Source organism: Homo sapiens, chromosome 9, assembly GCF_000001405.40.
Source record: "Homo sapiens chromosome 9, GRCh38.p14 Primary Assembly".
In the NCBI taxonomy this organism is placed as follows: domain Eukaryota; kingdom Metazoa; phylum Chordata; class Mammalia; order Primates; family Hominidae; genus Homo; species Homo sapiens.
Window position 1 is genome coordinate 26,483,861 of NC_000009.12, and position 21,169 is coordinate 26,505,029.

A 21,169-nucleotide genomic window follows, 5' to 3' on the forward strand; every position below is an offset into this window, starting at 1 on the left:
TGCAAATGACTACATTTCACTCTTTTTTATGACTGAATAGGATTCCATTGTGTATATGTGCCACATTTTCTTTTCTTTTCTTTTCTTTTTTTTGAGACAGAGTCTCGCTCTGTCGCCCAGGCTGGAGTGCAGAGGCTCACTGCAAGCTCGGCCTCCCGAGTTCATGCCATTCTCCTGCCTCAGCCTTCCGAGTAGCTGAGACTACAGGCGCCCGCCACCATGCGCTAATTTTTTGTATTTTAGTAGAGATGGGGTTTCACCATGTAGGCCAGGATGTTCTTGATCTCCTGACCTCGTGACCCACCCGCCTCCGCCTCCCAAAATGCTGGGATTATAGGTGTGAGCCACCGCGCCCGGCCATGCGCCACCACGCCCGGCCATGTGCCACATTTTCTTTATCCATTCATCTGCTGATGTACTTAGGTTGCTTCCAAATCTTTGCTAATGTAAAAAGTGCTTCAACAAACATAGGAGTGCAGATATTCTCTTCCAGATACTGATTTCCTTTCTTTTGAGTATATACCCACCAGTGGGATTGCTAGATCTTATGGGAACTTTAATTTTAGTTTTTTGAGAAACCTCCAAACTGTTCTCCACAGTGGTTGTGCTAATTTATATTCCCACCAACTGTACACAAGTATTCCCTTTTCTCCATATCCTTGCCAGCATTTGTTATTGCCTGTCTTTTGGATATAAGCCATTTTAACTGAGGTGAGATAATACCTTGTAGTTTTGATTCACATTTCTTGGATGATCAGTGATGTTGAGCACCTATTCATATGCCTGTTTGCCATTTGTATGTCTTCTTTTGAGGAATGTCTATTTAAATATTTTGCCCCTTTTTTGATCAGACTACTAGATTTTTTTCCTATGGAGTTGTTTGAGCTGCTTATATATTCTGGTTATTAATTCCTTGTCAGATGGGTAGTTTGCAAATTTTTTCTTCCATTCTGTGTGTTGTCTCTTCTTTTTGTTGATTGTTTCCTTCGCTGTGCAAAAGCTTTTCAACTTGATGTGATCACATTTGTCCATTTTTGCTTCGGTTGCCTGTGCTTATGGGGTATTTCTCAAAAAGTTTTTGCCTAGACCAATGTCTTAGAGGTTTTCCCCAATGTTTTCTTGTAGTAGTTTCATAGTTTGAGGTCTTAGATTTAAGTCTTCAAACCATTTGATTTGATTTTTTTATATGGCTAGAGATAGAGGTCTAGTTTCATTCTTCTACATAAGGATGTCCGGTTTTTCCAGCACTATTTATCAAAGAGGCTGTCATTTCCCCAGTGTATGTTCTTGGCACCTTTGTCAAAAATGTAGGTGTGTGGATTTGTTCTGGGTTCTCTATTCTTTTCCATTGGTCTATGTGTCTGTTTTTAAGCCAGTATCATGCTGTTTACGTTACTAAGCACTATAGTATATTTGAAGTCAGGTAGTTCGAGTTCTACAGTTTTATTATTATTATTTATTTACTTTTTTTTTTTTTTTTTGAGATGGAGTCGCGCTCTGTTGCCCCAGGCTGGAGTGCAGTGGCGCGATATCGGCAAACTGCAAGCTCCGCCTCCCGGGTTCAGGGCATTCTCCGGCCTCAGCCTCCCAAGTAGCTGGGACTACAGGTGCCCACCACCGCGCCCAGCTAATTTTTTTTTTGTATTTTTTAGTAGAGATGGGTTTCCACCGTGGTCTCGATCTCCTGACCTCGTGATCCGCCCGCCTCTGCCTCCCAAAGTGCTGGGATTAGAGGTGTCAGCCACCAGGCCAGGCCTACAGTTTTTATTCTTTTTGCTTAGAATAGCTTTGGCTATTCTGGGTCTTTTGTGGTTTCACATAAATTTTAGTGTAGTTTTTCTTTTTCTGTGAAGAATGTCACTGGTATTTTTATAGGAATTGCATTGAATCTGTAGATTGCTTTGGGCAAAATAGACATTTCAACAATATTGATCCTTCCAATCCATGAACATTGACTATTTTTCCATTTTGTTGTGTCCTCTTCAATTTATTTCATCAGCATTTTATAGTTTTCATTATAGAGATTTTTCACATGTTGGTTAATTCCTAGATATTTAGTTTTATGTGTGGCTATTGTAAATGGGATTATTATTTTTATTTCTCTTTCAAATTGTTCACTGTTAGCCTACAGAAATGCTACTGGTTTTTGCAGGTTGATTTTGTATTCTGCAATTTTACTGAATTTGTGTATCTGTTCTAATGGTTTTCTTATGGAATCTTCTGATTTTTCCAAATGTAAGATTATATCATCCCCAAACAGGGGCAATTTGACTTCTTCCTTTCCAATTTGGATGGCCTTTATGTCTTTCTCTTGTCTGATTGCCCTAGCTAGGACTTCCAGTATTATGTTGATAACAATGGTGACAGTGGGCATCCCTATTATGTTCCAGATATTAGAGGAAAGTCTTTCAGTTTTTCCCCATTCAGTATGGTACCAGCTGTGGGTCTGTCATATATGGCTTTTATTATGTTGAGATGCGTTCCTTCTATACTTAATTTTTTGAGGGTTTTTATCATGAAGGGATGTTGAATTTTATAAAATGTTTTTTTCAGCATCAATTGAAATGGTCATATGGTTTTTATCTTTCATTCTGTTGATATGATGTAACACATATTGATTTGCACATGTTGTACCATGTTTGTGTCCCAGGTATAAATCCCACTTGGTCATGATGAATGATCTTTCTAATGTATTGTTTAATTCAGTTTGCTAGTATTTAGTTGAGGAATTTTGCATTAATATTCATCAGAGATAGAGGCCTGTAGTTTTCTTTTTTCAATGTATCTTTTTCTGGTTTTGGCATTAGAGTAATACTGGCCTCCTACAATTAGTTTGGAAGTATTCCCTTCTTCTCTACTCTTCAGAATAGTTTGAGTAGAATTGACATTAGTTCTTCGAATGTTTGGTAGAATTCAGCAGTAAAGCCATCAGGTCCCAGTCTTTAATTTTCTGGGAGACTTTATATTATGGCTTTGATTTAATTACTTGTTATTGGTCTGTTCGGGTTTTATATTTCTTCCTGGCTCCCTCTTGATAGGTTGTATGTATGTAGGAGTTTGTCCATTTCGTCTAGATTTTCCAATGTATTAGCATACAGTTGTGCATAGTAGCCACTAATGATCCTTTGAATTTTTGCAGTATCAGTTGTAATGTCTCCCTTTTCATTTCTGATTTTATTTATTTGGATCTTTTTTTTTCTTAGTCTTGCTAATAGTCTGTCAATTTTGTTTAACTTCAAAAAAAACTTTTAAAAAGTGATCTTTTATATTGTCTTTTCACATCAATTTTATTTATTTCTGCTCTGATCTTCATTATTTCCTTTCTTCAACTAATTTGGGGGTTGGTTTGCTCTTGCTTTTCTAGTTCTTTAAGATGCATTGTTAGATTGCTCATCTGAAGTTTGTCCTCTTTTTTAGGGTTGGCACTTTTAACTATAAATTTCCCTCTTAGTACTACTTTCACTGTGTCACATAGGCATTGATATATTGTGTTTCCATTATCATTTGTTTCAAGGTTTTTTTCAATTTTCTTCTTAATTTCTTTATTAACCCACTGGTCATTCAGAAGCACATAACCTAATTTCCATGTATTTGTATAGCTTTCAAAAACCCTATTGCTATTTATTTCTAGTTTTATTCCATTGGGGTCAGAGAAGACGCTTGATATTATTTCAATTTTTCTTAACATTTTAAGACGTATTTTATGACCTAATGTATGGTCTATCATGGAGAATGGCCCTTGTGCTGGGGTAAATAATGTGTATTCTGCAGCTTTAGGATGAAATGTTCTGTAAATATCTATTAGATCCATTTGGTCTATAGTTCAGATTAAGTCTAATGTTTCTTTGTTGGTTATCTGTCTAGAAGATTTGTCTCATGCTGAAAGTTGGGCATTGACGTCTCCAGCTATTATTGTATTGGGCCTCTCTCTTTACCTATAATAATATTTGCTTTTTATATGTGGGTGCTCCAGTGTTGGGTGCATATATACTTAAAGTTGTTACATCCTCTTGCTGAACTGACACCTCTATCATTATATAGTGATATTCTTTGTCTCTTTTATAGTTTTGGTCTTAAAATCTATTTTTTGTGATATAAATATACAAACTCCTGCTCACTTTTGGCTTCCATTGGCATGGAATTTCTTTTTCTATCCCTTTAATTTCAACCTATATATGTCTTTATATGTGAAGTGTATTGTTTGTAGGCAAAAGATCAATGGGTCTTATTTTTTCAACCATTCAGCCACTCTATGTTTTTCAAATGGAAAGTTTAGTCCATTTGCATGCAATGTTATTGTTGATAAGTAAGAAATTATTCCTGTTACTTATTTTCTGGTTGTTTTGTGGTGTTTTCTTCCTTCTTTCTTTCCTTCCTGCCTTTGTCTGTGAAGGTGATTTTCTCTGGTCATATAATTTAATTTCTTGCTTTTTATTTTTTGTGTATCCATTGTATATGTTTTGGTTTGAGCCTACCAGGAGGCTTACAAAAACTATCTTATAACCCATTATTTTAACCTGATAACAATTTAACATTATTTGCATAAACAAGTAAAAAGAACTAATAAAACTCTATGCCCTAACTTTGTCCCCCCACTTTTTAACTTTTTGTTGCTTCTATTGATATCTTATTGTACTGAATATGACTTTTAAAGTTGTTGTAGTTATTATTTTTGATTAGTTCATTGTTTAGTCTTTCTACTTAGGACAAGAATAGTTTATACACCACAGTTAGAGTGTACTTGCTATTACCAGTGAGTTTTGTATATTCATGTGATTATTTATTGCTCATTAATGTCCGTTTCTTTCTGATTGAAGTACTCCCTTTAGCATTTCTTGTAGAACAGGTCTGGTATCGATGAAATCCCGCAGCTTTTGTTTGTCTGGAGAAGTCTTTATTTCTCTTTCATGTTTGAAGGATAATTTTGCCAGATATTTTATTCTAGAGTAAAATATTTTTTCCTCGGAACTTTTAATATGTCATGCCATTCTCTCCTGGTCTATAAGGTTCTCATTGAAAAGTCTGCTGCCAGATGTATTGGAGCTCTGTTGTATTTTATTTATTTCTTTAATCTTGCTGCTTTTAAGATTTTTTTTATCCTTGACCTTTGGCAATTTGATTATTAAATGCCTTGAGGTAGTCTTCTTTAGGTTAAATCTACCTGGTGTTCTATAACCTTCTTGTACTTAAATATTGATATATTTCTTTCTAGGTTTGGGAAATTATCTGTTATTATTCCTTTGAATAAATTTTCTACCCCTATATCTTTCTCTACCTCCTCTTTAACGCCAGTAACTCTTAGATTTGCCCTTTTGAGGCTATTTTCTACATTCTGTAGCCATGCTTTATTGATTTTTATTCTTTTGCTTTGTTTTGTTTCCTTTGTGTATTTTCAAATAGCCCATCTTCAAGCTCACTAATTCTTTTTTCTCCTTGATCTATTCTACTATTAAAAGCCTCTGAGATTCTGGTACATTGTATCTTTGCTCTCATTAGTTTCAAAAAACTTCTTGATTTCTGCATTAACTTCATTATTTACCCAAGAATCACTCAGGAGCAGGTTGATCAATTTCCACCTAGTTGTGTGGTTTTGAGTGAATTTCTTAATCTTGAGTTCTAACTTGATTGTTCTGTGGTCTGCGAGACTGTTTGTTATTATTTCAATTATTTTGCATTTGCTGAGGAGTGTTTCACTTTCAATTACGTGATCAATTTTTGTGTAAGTGCCATGTGGCAATGAGAAGAACGTATATTCTGTTGTTTTTGGGGGGAGAGTTCATAGATATCTATCAGGTCCATTTGATCCAGAGCTGAGTTCAAGTCCTGAATATCTTTGTTAATTTTCTGTTTCAATGATCTGTCTAATATTGTCAGTGGGGTGTTAAAGTCTCCCATTATTACTGTGTGGGAGTCTAAGTCTGTTCAAAGGTCTCTAAGTTGTTTTATGAATCTGGGGGCTCTTGTGTTGGTGCATATATATTTAGGATAGTTAGCTCTTCTTGTTGAATGGAACCATTTACCATTACATAATGCCCTTCTTTGTCTTTTTTTGTTTAAAGTAGGGTTGATGCAGTCTTCGGTATGCCAATTGCATTTTTCAGTTCCAGAATTTCCTCTTGATTTTTTTAAATTATTTCAATCTCTTTGTTAAATTTATCTGATAGAATTCTGAATTCCTTCTCTGAGTTATCTTGAGTTTCTTTGAATTTCCTCAATGCTGATATTTTGAATTCTCTATCTGAAAGGCCGTTATATCTCCGTCTCTCCAGGATTGGTCCATGGTGGCTTCTTTAGTTCATTTGGTGAGATCATGTTTTCCTGAATGGTGTTGATCCTAGTAGATGTTCCTTGTTGTCTAGGCTTTGAAGAGTTAGATATTTGTTGTAGTTTTCACTGTCTGGGCTTATTTGGAGCTATTCTTGAGAAGGCTTTCCAGATATTTTAAAGGACTTGAGTGTTACAATATAAGCTGTATCTGCTTTAGGGGGCAGCCCAAGCCCAGTAACACTGTGGTTCTTGCAGACTCATAGAGATTACTTGACAGAGACTCTTATTCTCTTCCCCTACTTTCTCCCAAACAAACATATTTTCTCTCTCTGTTCTGAACCACCTAAAGCTGGAGACGGAATGACACAAGCACCCCTATGGCTACCACCACTATGACTGTGCTGTGTCAGAGCTGAAGCAAGCACAGTGCTGGGTCTCATCCAAGGCCTGCTATAACCACTCCATGGCTATTGCCTGTGTTACTCAAGGCCCTGGGGCTCTACCATCAGCAGGTGGCAATGCCAACCAGGCCTGTGTCCTTCCCTTCAAGATGGAAAGGTTCCCCCAGGCCCTGGGCAAGTCCAGAAGTGCTGTCCTGGAGTCAGGGACTAGAGTCCAATATCTCAGAAGTCTACTTGGTGTTCTATCATATTGCAGCTGAGCTGGCACTCAAACCACAAGACACAGTCCTTTTCACTCTTCCGTCCACTTTCCAAAAGCCAGAGGAGCCTCATCCAGTAGCCCTGCCACTCCAGGCCACAAGGAGTACTTTCAGGATACCAGTCAATGTTCCCTTAAGGCCTAAGATCTCTTAAGTCAGCTTGTAGTGAATGCTTCTTCGCCTGGGACACAGTGGGCACCCCTCTGGCCCAAGGCAGGTCCAGAAATGCCATCCAAGAGTCAAGTCCTGGAAACAGGGACCCCAAGAGGCCGCTTGATGCTCTGCCCCACTGTGGCTATGCTGGTGCCTGAAGCCAGCAAGTTTCAGGGGCTCACCCAAGGCCCTTGATGTAGAACCTGGGTATCATTGCTGGTTATTCAGGGTCCAAGGGCACTTCAGTTAGCAGGTGATGAATGCTGTGCCAGGACTAGGTTCTTTCCTTCAAGGCAGCAGGTTCCCTCCTGGCCCAGGGTGTGTCTAGAAATGTCATCTGTTAGCTAGGCCCTGTAACGGGGGCCTCACAATGCTGTCCAGTGCCCTATCATGCTGTGGCTTAGCTAGTATCCAAGATGCATGATAAAGTCCTCCCCACTTTTCCCTCTCCTCTCCTCAAGCAGAAGGAAGGGGTCTTTTTTGGAGTCATGAGCTGTGCAGCATGGTGTTACGGAAGGGGTGATGCTAGCACTCCCTTGGCTGCCCCAGCTGGTGTCTCAGTATGTCTCATCCCCTCCCAGTCCACTGTCCCTGGGCCTATTTCAACCTATTTCTAGGTCTCACCTAAGAATTGCAGTCCTTATGGCCTAGACTGCCTTTCAAATTTACTTGGAGATACAGAGCACTGTAGCCCTCTGTTGCAAGGTTTGCTGCACTCAAGTTCTGACCACTGAGATTAGTGATTCTTCTATGGCTATGGCTGGTTTAAATGCTCCCTCCATGGGCAGGCATCAGCTGATTTTGGTCCGGTTTTCCTTTCTGCTCTGCCAGGGCAGCAGCGAGTTAAATGCCCCACAACTGCTGTGTTCTCCCTCCCCCAGCTGCAGCTCTCTGCACCACACTATGTGGTAGGACGGTGAGGGAGGGTAAATGAGACATCAGTGATTCCAGACTGTTTTTTCTAACTCTTCAGTGTCTCAGTGATATAAAGTTAAAACCGCTCTCTCCCTCTCCCTCTCCCTCTCCCTTCTTTCTTTCTTCGGTCTCCCTCTGTTGCCGAGGCTGGACTGTACTGCCGTGGTCTTGGCTTGCTGCAGCCTACCTGCCCCGGGCTCCCGTGGTTCTCCTGCCTCGGCCTGCCCAGTGCCTGGGATTGCGAGCGCGTGACGCCACACCTGACTGGTTTTTGTATTTTTGGAGGAGACAGGGTTTCACCCTGTTGACCAGGCTGGTCTCCGGCTCCTGACCTCGAGTGGTCTGCCCGCCTCGGCCTCCCGGGGTGCTGGGATTGCAGACAGAGTCTCGCTCACTCAATGCTCAGTGTTGCCCAGACTGGAGTGCAGTGGCATGATCTTGGCTCGCCACAACCTCCACCTTCCAGCCGCCTGCCTTGGCCTCCCAAAGTGCTAAGATTACAGCCTCTGCCCAGCCGCCACCCCATCTGGGAAGTGGAAAGCGTCTCTGCCTGGCTGCCCATCGTCTAGGATGTGGGGAGTCCCTCTGCCGGGCCGCCCCGTCTGGGAAGCGAGGAGCGCCTCTGCCCGGCCGCCCTATCTGGGAAGTGAGGAGCATCTCTGCCCAGCCGCCACCCTGTCCGGGAAGTGAGGAGCATCTCTGCCCGGCCACCCATCGTCTGGGATGTGAGGAGCGCCTCTGCCTGGCCGCCACCCTGTCTGGGAGGTGAGGAGCGCCTCTGCCCGGCCGCCCATCGTCTGGGATGTGAGGAGCGCCTCTGCCTGGCTGCCCCATCTGGGATGTGAGGAGCGCCTCTGCCCGGCCGCCACCCGGTCTGGGAGGCAAGGAGCGTCTCTGCCCGGCCGACCATCATCTGGGATGTGAGGAGCGCCTCTGCCCGGCTGCCCCGTCTGGGATGTGAGGAGCACCCCTGCCCGGCCACCACCCCATCTGGGAGGCGAGGAGCGCCTCTGCCTGGCCGCCACCTGGTCTGGGAGGTGAGGAGCGTCTCTGCCCGGCCACCCATCGTCTGGGATGTGAGGAGTGCCTCTGCCCGGCTGCCCCATCTGGGATGTGAGGAACACCTCTGCCCGGCCAACACCCCGTCTGGGAGGCGAGGAGCGCCTCTGCCCGGCCGCCCCGTCTGGGAAGTGGGCACCTCTGCCCGGCCGCCCCGTCTGGGAGGTGAGGGGCGTCTCTGCCCGGCCGCCCCGTCTGGGAGGTGAGGAGCGCCTCTGCCCGGCTGCCCTTCATCTGGGAGGTGGGGAGTGCCTCTGCCCGGCCGCCCTTCGTCTGGGAGGTGGGGAGCACCTCTGCCCGACCGCCCCGTCTGGGAAGAGGGCGCCTCTGCCCGGCCGCCCCATCTGGGAGGTGAGGGGCATCTCTGCCCAGCCGCCCCGTCTGGGAGGTGAGGAGCGCCTCTGCCCAGCCGCCCCGCCTGGGAGGTGAGGGGCATCTCTGCCTGGCCACCCTTCATCTGGGAGGTGGGAAACAGCTCTGCCCAGCTGCCCCGTCTGGGAAGTGGGGAGCACCTCTGCCAGGCCACCCCATCTGGGAAGTGTACCCAACAGCTCTGAAGAGACAGCGACCATCAAGAACGGGCCACGATGACGATGGCGGTTTTGTCAAAAAGAAAAGGGGGAAATGTGGGGAAAAGAAAGAGAGATCAGATTGTTACTGTGTCTGTGTAGAAAGAAGTTGACATAGGAGACACCATTTTGTTCTGTACTAAGAAAAATTCTTCTGCCTTGGGATGCTGTTAATCTATAACCTTACCCCCAACCCAGTGCTCTCTGAAACATGTGCTGTGTCAACTCAGGGTTAAATGGATTAACGGCAGTGCAAGATGTGCTTTGTTAAACAGATGCTTGAAGGCAGCATGCTCATTAAGAGTCATCACCACTCCCTAATCTCAAGTACCCAGGGACACAAACACTGCCGAAGGCCGCACGGACCTCTGTCTAGGAAAACCAGAGACCTTTGCTCACGTGTTTATCTTCTGACCTTCTCTCCACTATTATCCTATGACCCTGCCACATCCCCCTCTCTGAGAAACACCCAAGAATGATCAATAAATACTAAAAAATAAAAATAAATAATAATAATAATAATAATAATAAAACCAAGTACTATGAGTGTTCACCTGATTTTTGGTTCTTAAGAAAGTGGTTTTTTTCTGTGTAGATAGTTATTAACTTGGTGCCTTTGCAAGGGTGGGAGAGGGGACAATCAGTGGAGACTTCTATTCAGCCATCTTGCTCTGCTTCTTTTCCGTTTTTCTCTGGTCACCATTTAAGTTAGAAATTAATAGCAAAAATATATAACTAGAAAAATCTAAAGTTTTGAAAGTTAACAAATGTATTTCTTATTAACTCATGAGTCACAGAAGAAATTATTGCTTCAATCAAATAATGTTAATACCAAATGGTAATAAAAATATTATGTTTCAAAACTTTTGGGATACAGTTATAGGATACTAAGATAGAAAAATATGCATTTAAATATGTATACTATAAAAGAAGGAAACTTATTAACAAATGACCTAAGAAATCAACATAAGAAGTTAGGGAGAGAAATCAGATCAAGCCAAATACAGTAGAAAGTAGGAAATAATACAGATAAGAGTAGAAATAAACAAGATAAAAAAGAATAAACTGAAAAGCTATTAACTTAAAAGATTAGTACAATAGACCAACTTTTAATCAAGATAAAAAGAGATAATGTACAAATAAGCCATATTATGAACACATAAATAAAAAACTACAGATGCTACACAGATTTAAAAGACATTAAAAGAATAATATGAACAACTTATGTCAATAAATACAAAAATTTTGAAGAGACAGAGAAATTCCAAGAAAATATACCATACCAAAACTGATTGAAGAAGAAATGAACAAAAAACCTGAGCAACCCTATAGCCATTAAAAGTAATTGAAACAGTACCTTAAACTCTTACCACAAAGAAAACATCAGCATCAGACAAATTTGCCCATGGCTTATACAAAACAATCAAGAAATTTTAATTATTCTTTAAAAAACTCAGAGTAGGTAAAAGAAAGCATATTACCTAACTCATTTTATGAAGCTGACATAAAGTGGATAGTGAAATTTGACAAGAACCATAGAAGGCAATAAAATTCTAGATAAATGCCATTCATGCACCTAAATAAAAAAATTCTAAATAAAATATCAGCAAGCCAAATCCATCGGTGTGTAAATAAGATAATATATTCTAACCAAGTTCACTTTATCTCAGCAATATTAATGTTATTTTAACATTAGAACATCAATTAATGTAATTCACTGTAAACTTTAAAAGTTGAAAGGTGGTAAGTCATTATCTCAGTAGATAAAGAAAATGCAGTGAATACAATTCAACATTGATTCATAATTCGATTATCTGCAAAATACTGAAAGTACACATTATCCTGAATGACAAAATAGTGAAAATTTCGCTGTGATGATCAGAAAGATTGTTGTTCATTATTATACACAATGTTCTAGACAGTGCATTATAGTAAATAAAGATATAAGAGTTGAAAAAAGAAAACAAACTGTTATTTTCATATTGAAATCACAATGGTAAAAGTGTATAGCAAGTTTGCTGCAATCAGAATCAATGTACAAAATGAAATTGAATCTATTTCATCTACAAGAAGTTTTCAAATGTAGTGTTTTAAAAGATACTACTTCAATAAGATAAAAATGTATTTGAAAAAATATTAATAACTCTAATGAAGAAAGTATAAGATCTTCCTGGAGAAGATTATAAAACTTTATTAAATCACATTAAAGAAGAACTAAAATAGAGAGGTATATTATTTTTACTGATTTAAAAACTGAATATTATAATGATGTCAATTCTCCCAGAATTTATCTATAGATCCAAAGAAATTCTTATAAAAAATACCATGTTTTTGGGTAGACATTGAAAAGTTAACACTAAAATTTATATGGAAAAGCAAAGAAAAACTCCTGACAAGGAACTACCAGATATCAAAACTAACTATATAATTAAGACGGTATGAGATTGACATACGTTTAGACAAACTGATCAATGAAAAAGAATAGTCCAGAAACACAATCACACATATAGAATAACTTCTTTTTTGATAGTGAGCAATGTAGATTAGAAGACAGGTAATGAGCTTTTCAGAGGTTTTCCGACAATTGGATATACATAAAAAAACTTGTATACTGATCTCATTATGCACTCAAAAATCAACACCAAGCATACTTAAATATGAAAGGTATGTTGGCCAAACTTCTGAAAGAAAACGCAGGAGAATTTTTAAGACTGTTGTGTTAGAAAAAAAAAAAGTCTTAAGGAAGACTCTAAAAATGCAAACCATTAATAAGGGAAAAATTAATAAGCTTGACTATTTTAAATTCAGAACAATAATTTTCCCAAAACACATTTTAAGTTTTTTTTTTTAAAAAAAAGCTAATAAGCTGCCAATTGGAGAAGACATTTGCAGCAAATATAACTAAAAAAGGATTAGTATTCAGAATAAAGAAAGAATTCCCTAAAGAAGCAAAATTAAAATTTAGGTAAAATATATCACAGAAAAGAAAATGAAAATGCCCAATAAATATATACTGTAAATGCTTTCATCTTATATAATCAAGGAAACACAAATTAAAATAATGTAAATGATAAAACAAATAAAAATTTTACTCAAGCTATTCAAAAAATTGAAGAGAAGTGAATACTTCCAAACTCATTCTACAAGGCCAGAATTACCCTAATACCAATACCAGACAAGGACACAACAAAAAAAAAAGAAAGAAAGAAAACTGCAAGCCAATATCCCTGATGAACATAGATGCAAAAATTCTCAATAAAAGACTAGCAAGAAAATCCAACAGCACACCAGAAAGATAATACATCACAATCCAATGGACTTTACTCCAGGGATGGAAGGATGGTTCAACATACACAATTGAACAAACACAATATATTACATTAATGGAAGCAATAATAAAAACCATATAATCATTTCAAAAGATGCTGAGAAGTATTTAAAAAAATTAAACATCCTTTCATGATTAAAAAAACTCTCAAAAAACTCAGTAAAGAAGGAATATACTTCAAAATAATGAAAACTATATGTGACAAACACACAGCTAACATCATATTGAATGGAAAAAAAATTGGAAACCTTTTCTCTAATATCTGGAACAAGACAAGGATGCCCACTTATACTACTGTTATTCAACGTAGTGCTGGAAGTCTAGCCAAGCAATTAGGCAAGAGAAAGAAATAAAGAACTTCCAAATTAGAAAGAAAGAAAGAAGTCAAATTATTCTTGTTTGCTGACAATATTATTCTACATTTAGAAAAATCTAAGGACTCCACCAAAAAGCTGTTATAACTGATAAATGAATTCAGTAAAGTTGCAAGATACAAAATCAACATATAAAAATCAGTAGCATTTATATATATCAACATTGAACAATCTGAAAAATAAATCAATAAAGTAATTCCATTTACAGCACTATCAAAAAAAAATACCTAGGAATACTTTCTTTTTTAACCAAAAGAGTGAAAAACCTATACAATGAAAACTATAAAACACTGATGATAGAAATTGGAGAGGACACCAAAAATGGAAATATATCCCATGCTCATGGATTGGAAGAATTAACATTGTTAAAATGTCTATACAACACAAAGAGATCTACAGATTAAATGTAATTCCTATCAAAAATACCAATGACATTCTTCACATAACTAGAAAAAACAATGATAAAATTTATGGAATCACAAAAGACACCAAATTGCCAAGGCAATCCTGAGGCCAGGGGGGAAACTGGAGGCATCACACTACCTGACTTCAAAATATGCTACAAAGCTATAGTAATCAAAACAACATGGCACGGTCATAAAAACAGATGCATAGGCCAATGGAACAAAATAGAGAACCCAGAAATAAATCCATGTACATACATTCAACACATTTCCTACAATATGCCAAGAACATACACTGTGGGAAAGACAATCTTTGCAATAAATGATGCTGGGAAAACTGGATATCCATATGCAGAAGAATGAAATAAGGCCCCTACCTCACCATATACAAAAATCAAATCAAAATGGATTAAAGACTTCAATCTAAGCCCTGAAACTGTGAAACTGCTAGAGGCATACATTAGTGAAAGGTTTAAAGATATTAGTCTAGGCAAACTTTTTTTTTTTTTTTTTGGTAAGACCTCTAAAGCATAGGCAACAAAAGGAAAAATAGACAAATGGGTTATACCATTTGTATAGGAAACAGTCAACAGAGTGAAAAGAGAATCATCTGGCAAGTGATTAATAACTAAAATGTATAGAGAACTCAAACAACCCAGTAGGGAAAAGCCAAATAATTTGATTTAAAAGTGGGCAAATTATCTGAATAGACATTTCACGAAATAACTTAAACAAAGAACAACAGGTATATGAAAAAAATGCTAAACACTACTAATCATCAGGGAAATGCAAATCAAAAGCACAATGCAATATCATCTCACCCCAGTTAAAATGCCGATTATATTATGAAAAAGACCAAAAAATAACAAACGCTGGCTGCAATGCAGAGAAAGAGGAAGACCAGTATACTGTTGGTGGGGATGTAAATTAGTATAACCACTATGGAAAACAGTGCAGAGGTTCTCGAAAAAGTAAAAATAGAACCACCATAGGATTCAGCAATCTCACTGCTGGATGTATACCCAAAACTTTTATATATAGTATATCAAAGAGATTTCTGTACTTTCATATTTATTACAATAATATTCACAATAGCCAAAATATAGAATTAACGTAAGTGTCCATCAGTGGAGGAATGGATAAAGAAAATGTAGTATATATACACCATGGAATATTAGCCATAAAAAGAATGAAATTCTGTCATTTGCAGCAACATGGATACATCTGGAGGACATTATGTTAAGTGAAATAAGCCAAGCACAGAAATATCACATGTTACCACTCATAGGTAGAAGCTATTAAATTAAAAAAGTTGATGTCATGGAGGTAGAGAGTAGAATGATGGTTACCAGGTGGTTACTGTGCAGGGAGCACAGGGGATAAAGTGAGATTGGTTAGTGGTTATAAACATACAGTTAGATAGAAGGAATAATTACTAGTGTTCGATAGCAGAGTAGGGTGACAATAATTAACAACAAAGTATTGCATATTTCAAAATAGCTAACAGAGAAGATTTGGGATGCTCCCATCCCAAAGAAATGATAAATATTTGAGGTGATGAATATCCTGAATATCCTGACTTGATCATTACACATTGTATGCATGTATCAAAATATCATATGTAACTCAAAAATATACAATTTTTATGTATCAATTTTCTAAAATTTTCAAGTGGTCAAATAAAAAGAAGTAGAGTGAGGTTGGAGAAGAAGGGAAGATGTGGAAAAAAAGAAAACTTTATTCTTCCATTTCTGAATTGTTTACATTGTTCCAGTGCAAATTTACTTCTTTTACTTGGGTAGTTTTCTCTTCAAAAATAAATAAAAAATAAAAATATGTACTGCATATAAAAATATGGACAGGACTGAGACAGGAGAATCACTTGAACCTGGGAGGCAGAGGTTGCAGTGAGCTGAGATCGCGCCACTGCACTCCAGCCTGTGCAACAGAGTGAGACTCCGTCTCAAAAAAAAAATAATAATAAATACGGACAGGAATATTTATTATAAAAATATAGACTTTGGTAGGCCGAGGTGGGCGGATCACGAGGTCAGGAGATTGAGACCATCCTAGCTAACACGGTGAAACCCCATCTCTACTAAAAATACAAAAAAATTAGCCGGGCATGGTGGCGGGCGCCTGTAGTCCCAGCTACTCAGGAGGCTGAGGCAGGAGAATGGCGTGAACCTGGGAGGCGGAGCTTGCAGTGAGCCGAGATGGTGCCACTGCAGTCCAGCCTGGGCGACAGAGCGAGACTCCGTTTAAAAAAAAAAAAAAAAAAGTGTGTGTATATATATATATATATATATATATATATATATATATATATATATATATATTTAAGATGGAAGAATAACTAAAATGATATTTCACAATGTATGAGAATGTATAAGATTCTTAAGATTGGGAAAGATTGAAAAAAGTCGGACAGATCCAGGGTTGACAAAAGTCTGAACACGATGTATAAACAACATATGGAATGTCAGTTAGTAAATACCACCCTAGCAACTAATTAGGTATAATCTAGATGAAGTATGCACAAACTCTGTGCACTTCTGGGTCTGTAACCCAGAGAAATTCCAGGACATGATCTCTAGGGCTGTAAACAAGTATGTTCATTGCGACGCTGTTTAAAATAGCAAAACACTGAAAACAACCTAAACGGCCACCAATTCATATGGATAAATAAATTGTGGCATACTCTACACAGTAAAAATTAATTAATTACAGAAAAAGATTAACTTGCTGCTCTGCAAAATAATAATAAAATCAAACTACTAAAGAATAATTCCTATATTCAGTTGGATGAACCTGGAGGACGTTAGGTTAAATGAAATAAAACAGACATAGAAACACAAATACCACATGAGCTCACTTACACGTGGAGTCTAAAAAAGTTGAAATCATGGAAGTACAGAGTAGAATCGTGGTTACCAGGGTGGAGGGAGTTAGGGAGATATTGGTCAAAGGATGCAAAATTTCAGTTAGATAGGTAGAATAAGTTCAAGAGATCTATCTTACAACATGGTGACTATAGTTCATATCACTGTATTATGAAAATTGCTGACAGTAGATTTTAAGTGTTCTCACCGTAAAAAAAGGTAAGTATGTGAGGTAATATACTTGCTAACTAGCTTGAATGAGCCATTCCACAATGTATACACATTTCAAAACATCATGCTGTACAAAATAAATATATACAATTTTTATGTGTCAATTTAAAAATACAATAAAATAAAACAAGGGAAAAAGAAGGCATGGGATAAATGGAGGGAGGCATTCAGGAAGCCTCAAAAATAATGGTAACATGCCTTTCCTTAGACTATGTAATTGGTATAGAGTCGTTCATTCTGTCATTATTCTTTATACCTCATACACATTTTAAATATTCTTCTGTAACAACTTAAAACTTTAAAAATCGTTTTTAAAAGAAACACTTGCCCCACAAACCAGCACTCTCCAAATCCCCTATTTTTGTTAACAAATCTGCCATTAATCATAATAATAAAAAACATGAAATCTTTTGTGGTTGTTTTAGAGGAGTTCAGTGAAGGAATGGTGGTAACAAATATTCTTAGAAAAGCTGGAACAGCAAATATTCTAGATTGGGAACCATCTTCACATTTTATCAGAATGGAATGGGCTGGGACCAGGCGTGGTGGCTCATGCCTGTAATCCAAAAAAAAAAAAAAAAACAAGAAGAATGGTCTGGACATTAATAGCACCAATTCTCAATTATTAACAGTGTCCTGTTGCTAGAAGCACTCCTATAGAATGAAGGTCCTCATAGGTAGACATCTGAAAATAGAATGTGGAAGATAATATGCATACCCCACCCAGTGACCCATTCTCCACCACTGGGCAGTCAAGGGGAGAAAAATGTCCTTCGGTAACCATGGCATGCAGCCTGCAGCCAGGTGGAATTAAAAAAAGAAAACAACTGCATCCTGCATGCTAAGGAGCATGTTTCATAGTGATTACTTACCTCCAGGCATTAGAAATCTCCCAAGTTATCTGTTAAGGTACTTTCCAGTCTTCAATCACTCTTTTGAATTACTCAGCCAATGCCTAAAACAAATACATATATACATATATATGTGTATATATATGTATATATGTGTGTGTATATAGATGTATATATGTGTATATAGATGTATATATGTGTGTATATAGATGTATATATGCGTATATATGTATATATGTGTATATATATATGTGTATATATGTGTATATGTGTGTATATATGTATATATGTGTGTATATATGTGTGTATATATATACACACATATATACATATATTCACACACACACACAAAGCAACATATGTCAGTGCAAAGCTATTTTTTTTTTGTCTTCCTAACATGCCTAGCCATTGCAGCACTTGCTACAGATAAATTGGGGCACTTCTGCAGGGTCATTGTTTGCGATGAGACAAGTTCCCAAACATTCCAGTAAGGCCTGGGGAATTCTACACAGTCTTAATTGGTCTGAAGGCTATGATGATTTGAAGATCTGTGATCAGGGAGGAATAACCAAAATGCTTCTCATCACTGAGGTCACAAAGACCAGAAATGACAGCTCTTCTTCCTGCACATCACTTCTTCCTGCACATCACTTCTTCCTGCTGCCTTTTCAGAAGTTTCTACCTGAATAAAGAATAGAGGAACAATTCCAACTACTCTCCTCTGAAACATGGTACATGCAGCTTTGAGCTCTGCCACATCGTCCTTTCCCACAATATGATGTTCATGAATATGACAATAACTTTGTGTAAGCTTTTACTGAGCTATTTGAGGTTGTCGAAGGAAATGTTTCCTTGCAGAGAGCTGCACTCACAGTTCTGCAGATGAGAGGAAAGTAGGGCTCAAAGTAGCTCATGCTCGGCTTGCCAAATCCCTTCCTGTGGTGTGTTGCCATATCCACCCACAGAGGGGCACAACTGTTCCTTCCCTGGGAAGCTTCCAATGCTGACCAAGCCTTATACTTGGAGCACTGCAGCCACCCAGAAAAGGCACCTTTCTCTAATTCACACAGAGGTGCCTTAAAGCCAGCCATGACTCTCCCTCTGTTTGCCAGTATGACATAATGAAAAGAGCACTAGCCCAGAAGTCTTCAAACCTTCAACAAAATCCCAACTGAGCCACCTAACCTTGGAACACTTAAGTAACGTCTCTGAGCTTAAGTTCCCATATCTTTAAAATGAGTATGATAATGCAAACCTTGCAAGACTGATGCCAGGGCTAAGTTAAATAACATGTAAGCATGTAATCGATGTTCAGAAAATTTAACTTTCCCTTTCCTTTTGCAATATTTGTGTTCTTGTATATAGTAAAGAACACTTGTGTAGTGAGTTTAACATTTACTGAGATTTTTTTATAAACCTATCTCATTTAAAACCAACTCTATGACGTGCATGGGAAAATACAGACAAAAAGAGACATGTTGAAGGTTTACTGAGGAAGTAACCAAAGCCTGGGTCATCTAATTCCAAATCCCATGACCGTCCAATCACTTCAGGTTGTGATTACTGAAATTGTTACAGCTTATCACAAGAAGATTCAACAGGAACAACTTTATCATAACTATAGTTTTAACCTGGAAATAAAGCTATTCACCTTTCCCTAAAGATTTGCAACTGGGAAGTTCTTAAATGTCTTTTAAGGGAAGATGAACAAAGATATGCCATATTCTCCACCAAGACCTCTGCCTTGTAAAGTAAAAGAACAAATAATGCAACCATGAAGATTACTGTCAGTGAATAACAATAATTATTGTCAGAGTGGCAGAGAATAGGATATTTGTTTCCAGCTATTTTTCATATTCAACAAATATTTATTGAGTGTCTACTGTATATAGTTATAAACTCTCAGGATATAGTACTGAATATAGCAGACAAAATATCTGCTCTCATGGATCTTATCTTCTAGTGGGAATAACAAACAAAAAACAAAATGACAAATATGTCAGGAGATAACAAATTCTATTAATAAAGCAGAAAAAGGAGAACATAAGAGAATAAATCTTTAGTTGGGGAGAGAGGAGTGTGCTGATATAAATAGGATCTCTCAGAAATGAAAACTTGCATTATTTTTAAAAACAAAGGTTCTGTTGGTTTTCCTTTAAAGGAAAGAATAAATAAAATAAATAAAACAAACTCAGAAATCAAAACCACGCTTTTACCTTAATAATTCCCACCTCTCATTTCACTTTTCCGCTGTGAAATCTACTGGCACACAGTACTAAGGTTCCCAGAAAATGAGACTTCCTTCCCAACCTCTTCTTTACCTGAATTTTCCCACTGGGACAACAAATCCCAGCCTATGATATAACAAGGATAAGAACACAGTTCTCTCTGATGTGGAAATTTTGGGGACATTACAAAGTTTATTTTTATATTCAACATTTTAACAAGAACACATTGAACATACTTTTAAGGACACTATGAAACTTAAAAACATTAGTAATGCATAAATAATACTGCAATTATGTCAGAAATTTGTTTAGGCACTTTAATTTGTTTTTCCTACATGTAAGGTGAACTTTTATGATGTAGGACTCTAATACATTAAGTTTTTTGAGTATTAGAATGTTAGAGTTGGATCATATCCCAGAGATTACTGGCTCAACCCCTTATTGTGTAAATGAGGACTCTTAGATTCAGGAAGCTTAATAATAACAGTTTCTCATAAAATGGATGCCTGTGTGCCAGGAAGAAGTGTGCCAAGTGCTTTATATCCTGCGTAGTCAGGGTTCTTCAGAGAAATGTGTGCGTATAGAATCTCTCTCTCTCTCTCTCTATATATATATATGTGTGTGTGTGTGTGTGTGTGTGTGTATTATATATGTGTATGTATATATAAGCTATGTGTGTATATATGTTAGAGAGAGAGAGAGATACAGAGAAAAGTGTTTAAGGAATCGGCACCTAAGTTATTGGTAAATCTGAAATCTGTCGAGCGGGCTGGCAGGCTAAAAATTAAGGTAAGAGTTAATGTCGCACTCTTGAGCCTGAAATCTTCAGATTGGAAACTCAGGCAGGGTTTCTATGTTGCAGTATTAAGAAAGAATTGCTCTTTCTTCAGGAAGCCTCAGTCTTTGCTCTTAAGGCCTTCACCTGATTGGATGAGGCCCACCTACATTATGGTAATCTGCTTTGTTTAAAGTCTACACATCTGAAAAATACCTTCTCAGCAACATCTAGACTGGTTTTTTACAAAATCACTAGATGCCATAGCCTAGTCAAATTGAGACAGATTATTAACCATCATAGTCTCTTTATCTTAGTACTACCAACTTCCTTATTAAATTGGCATTATTATTGCCCACACTTTATAAAGAAGAAAACTAACAGTTCAGAGGTCTCACAGGACTTGTCTAAGGTCCTACCATTAGGAAGCATCCATGCCAGTCAGCCTTGACACAGATCCCACATTTTCAAA

The 21,169-nt window shown here is 38.0% G+C and overlaps 1 long non-coding RNA gene across 1 annotated transcript in view; it reads right to left on the bottom strand.

The window, feature by feature from the left end:
• Positions 1 to 17,798, bottom strand: part of LOC105375999 (uncharacterized) — a 155,489-nt gene extending 137,691 nt beyond the window's left edge. The window contains exon 1 of the long non-coding RNA XR_001746566.2: positions 17,716 to 17,798. This is a non-coding gene — a long non-coding RNA (uncharacterized LOC105375999). The remainder of the gene's footprint in view (positions 1 to 17,715) is intronic.
• Between the last annotated feature and the right edge of the window lie 3,371 nt (positions 17,799 to 21,169).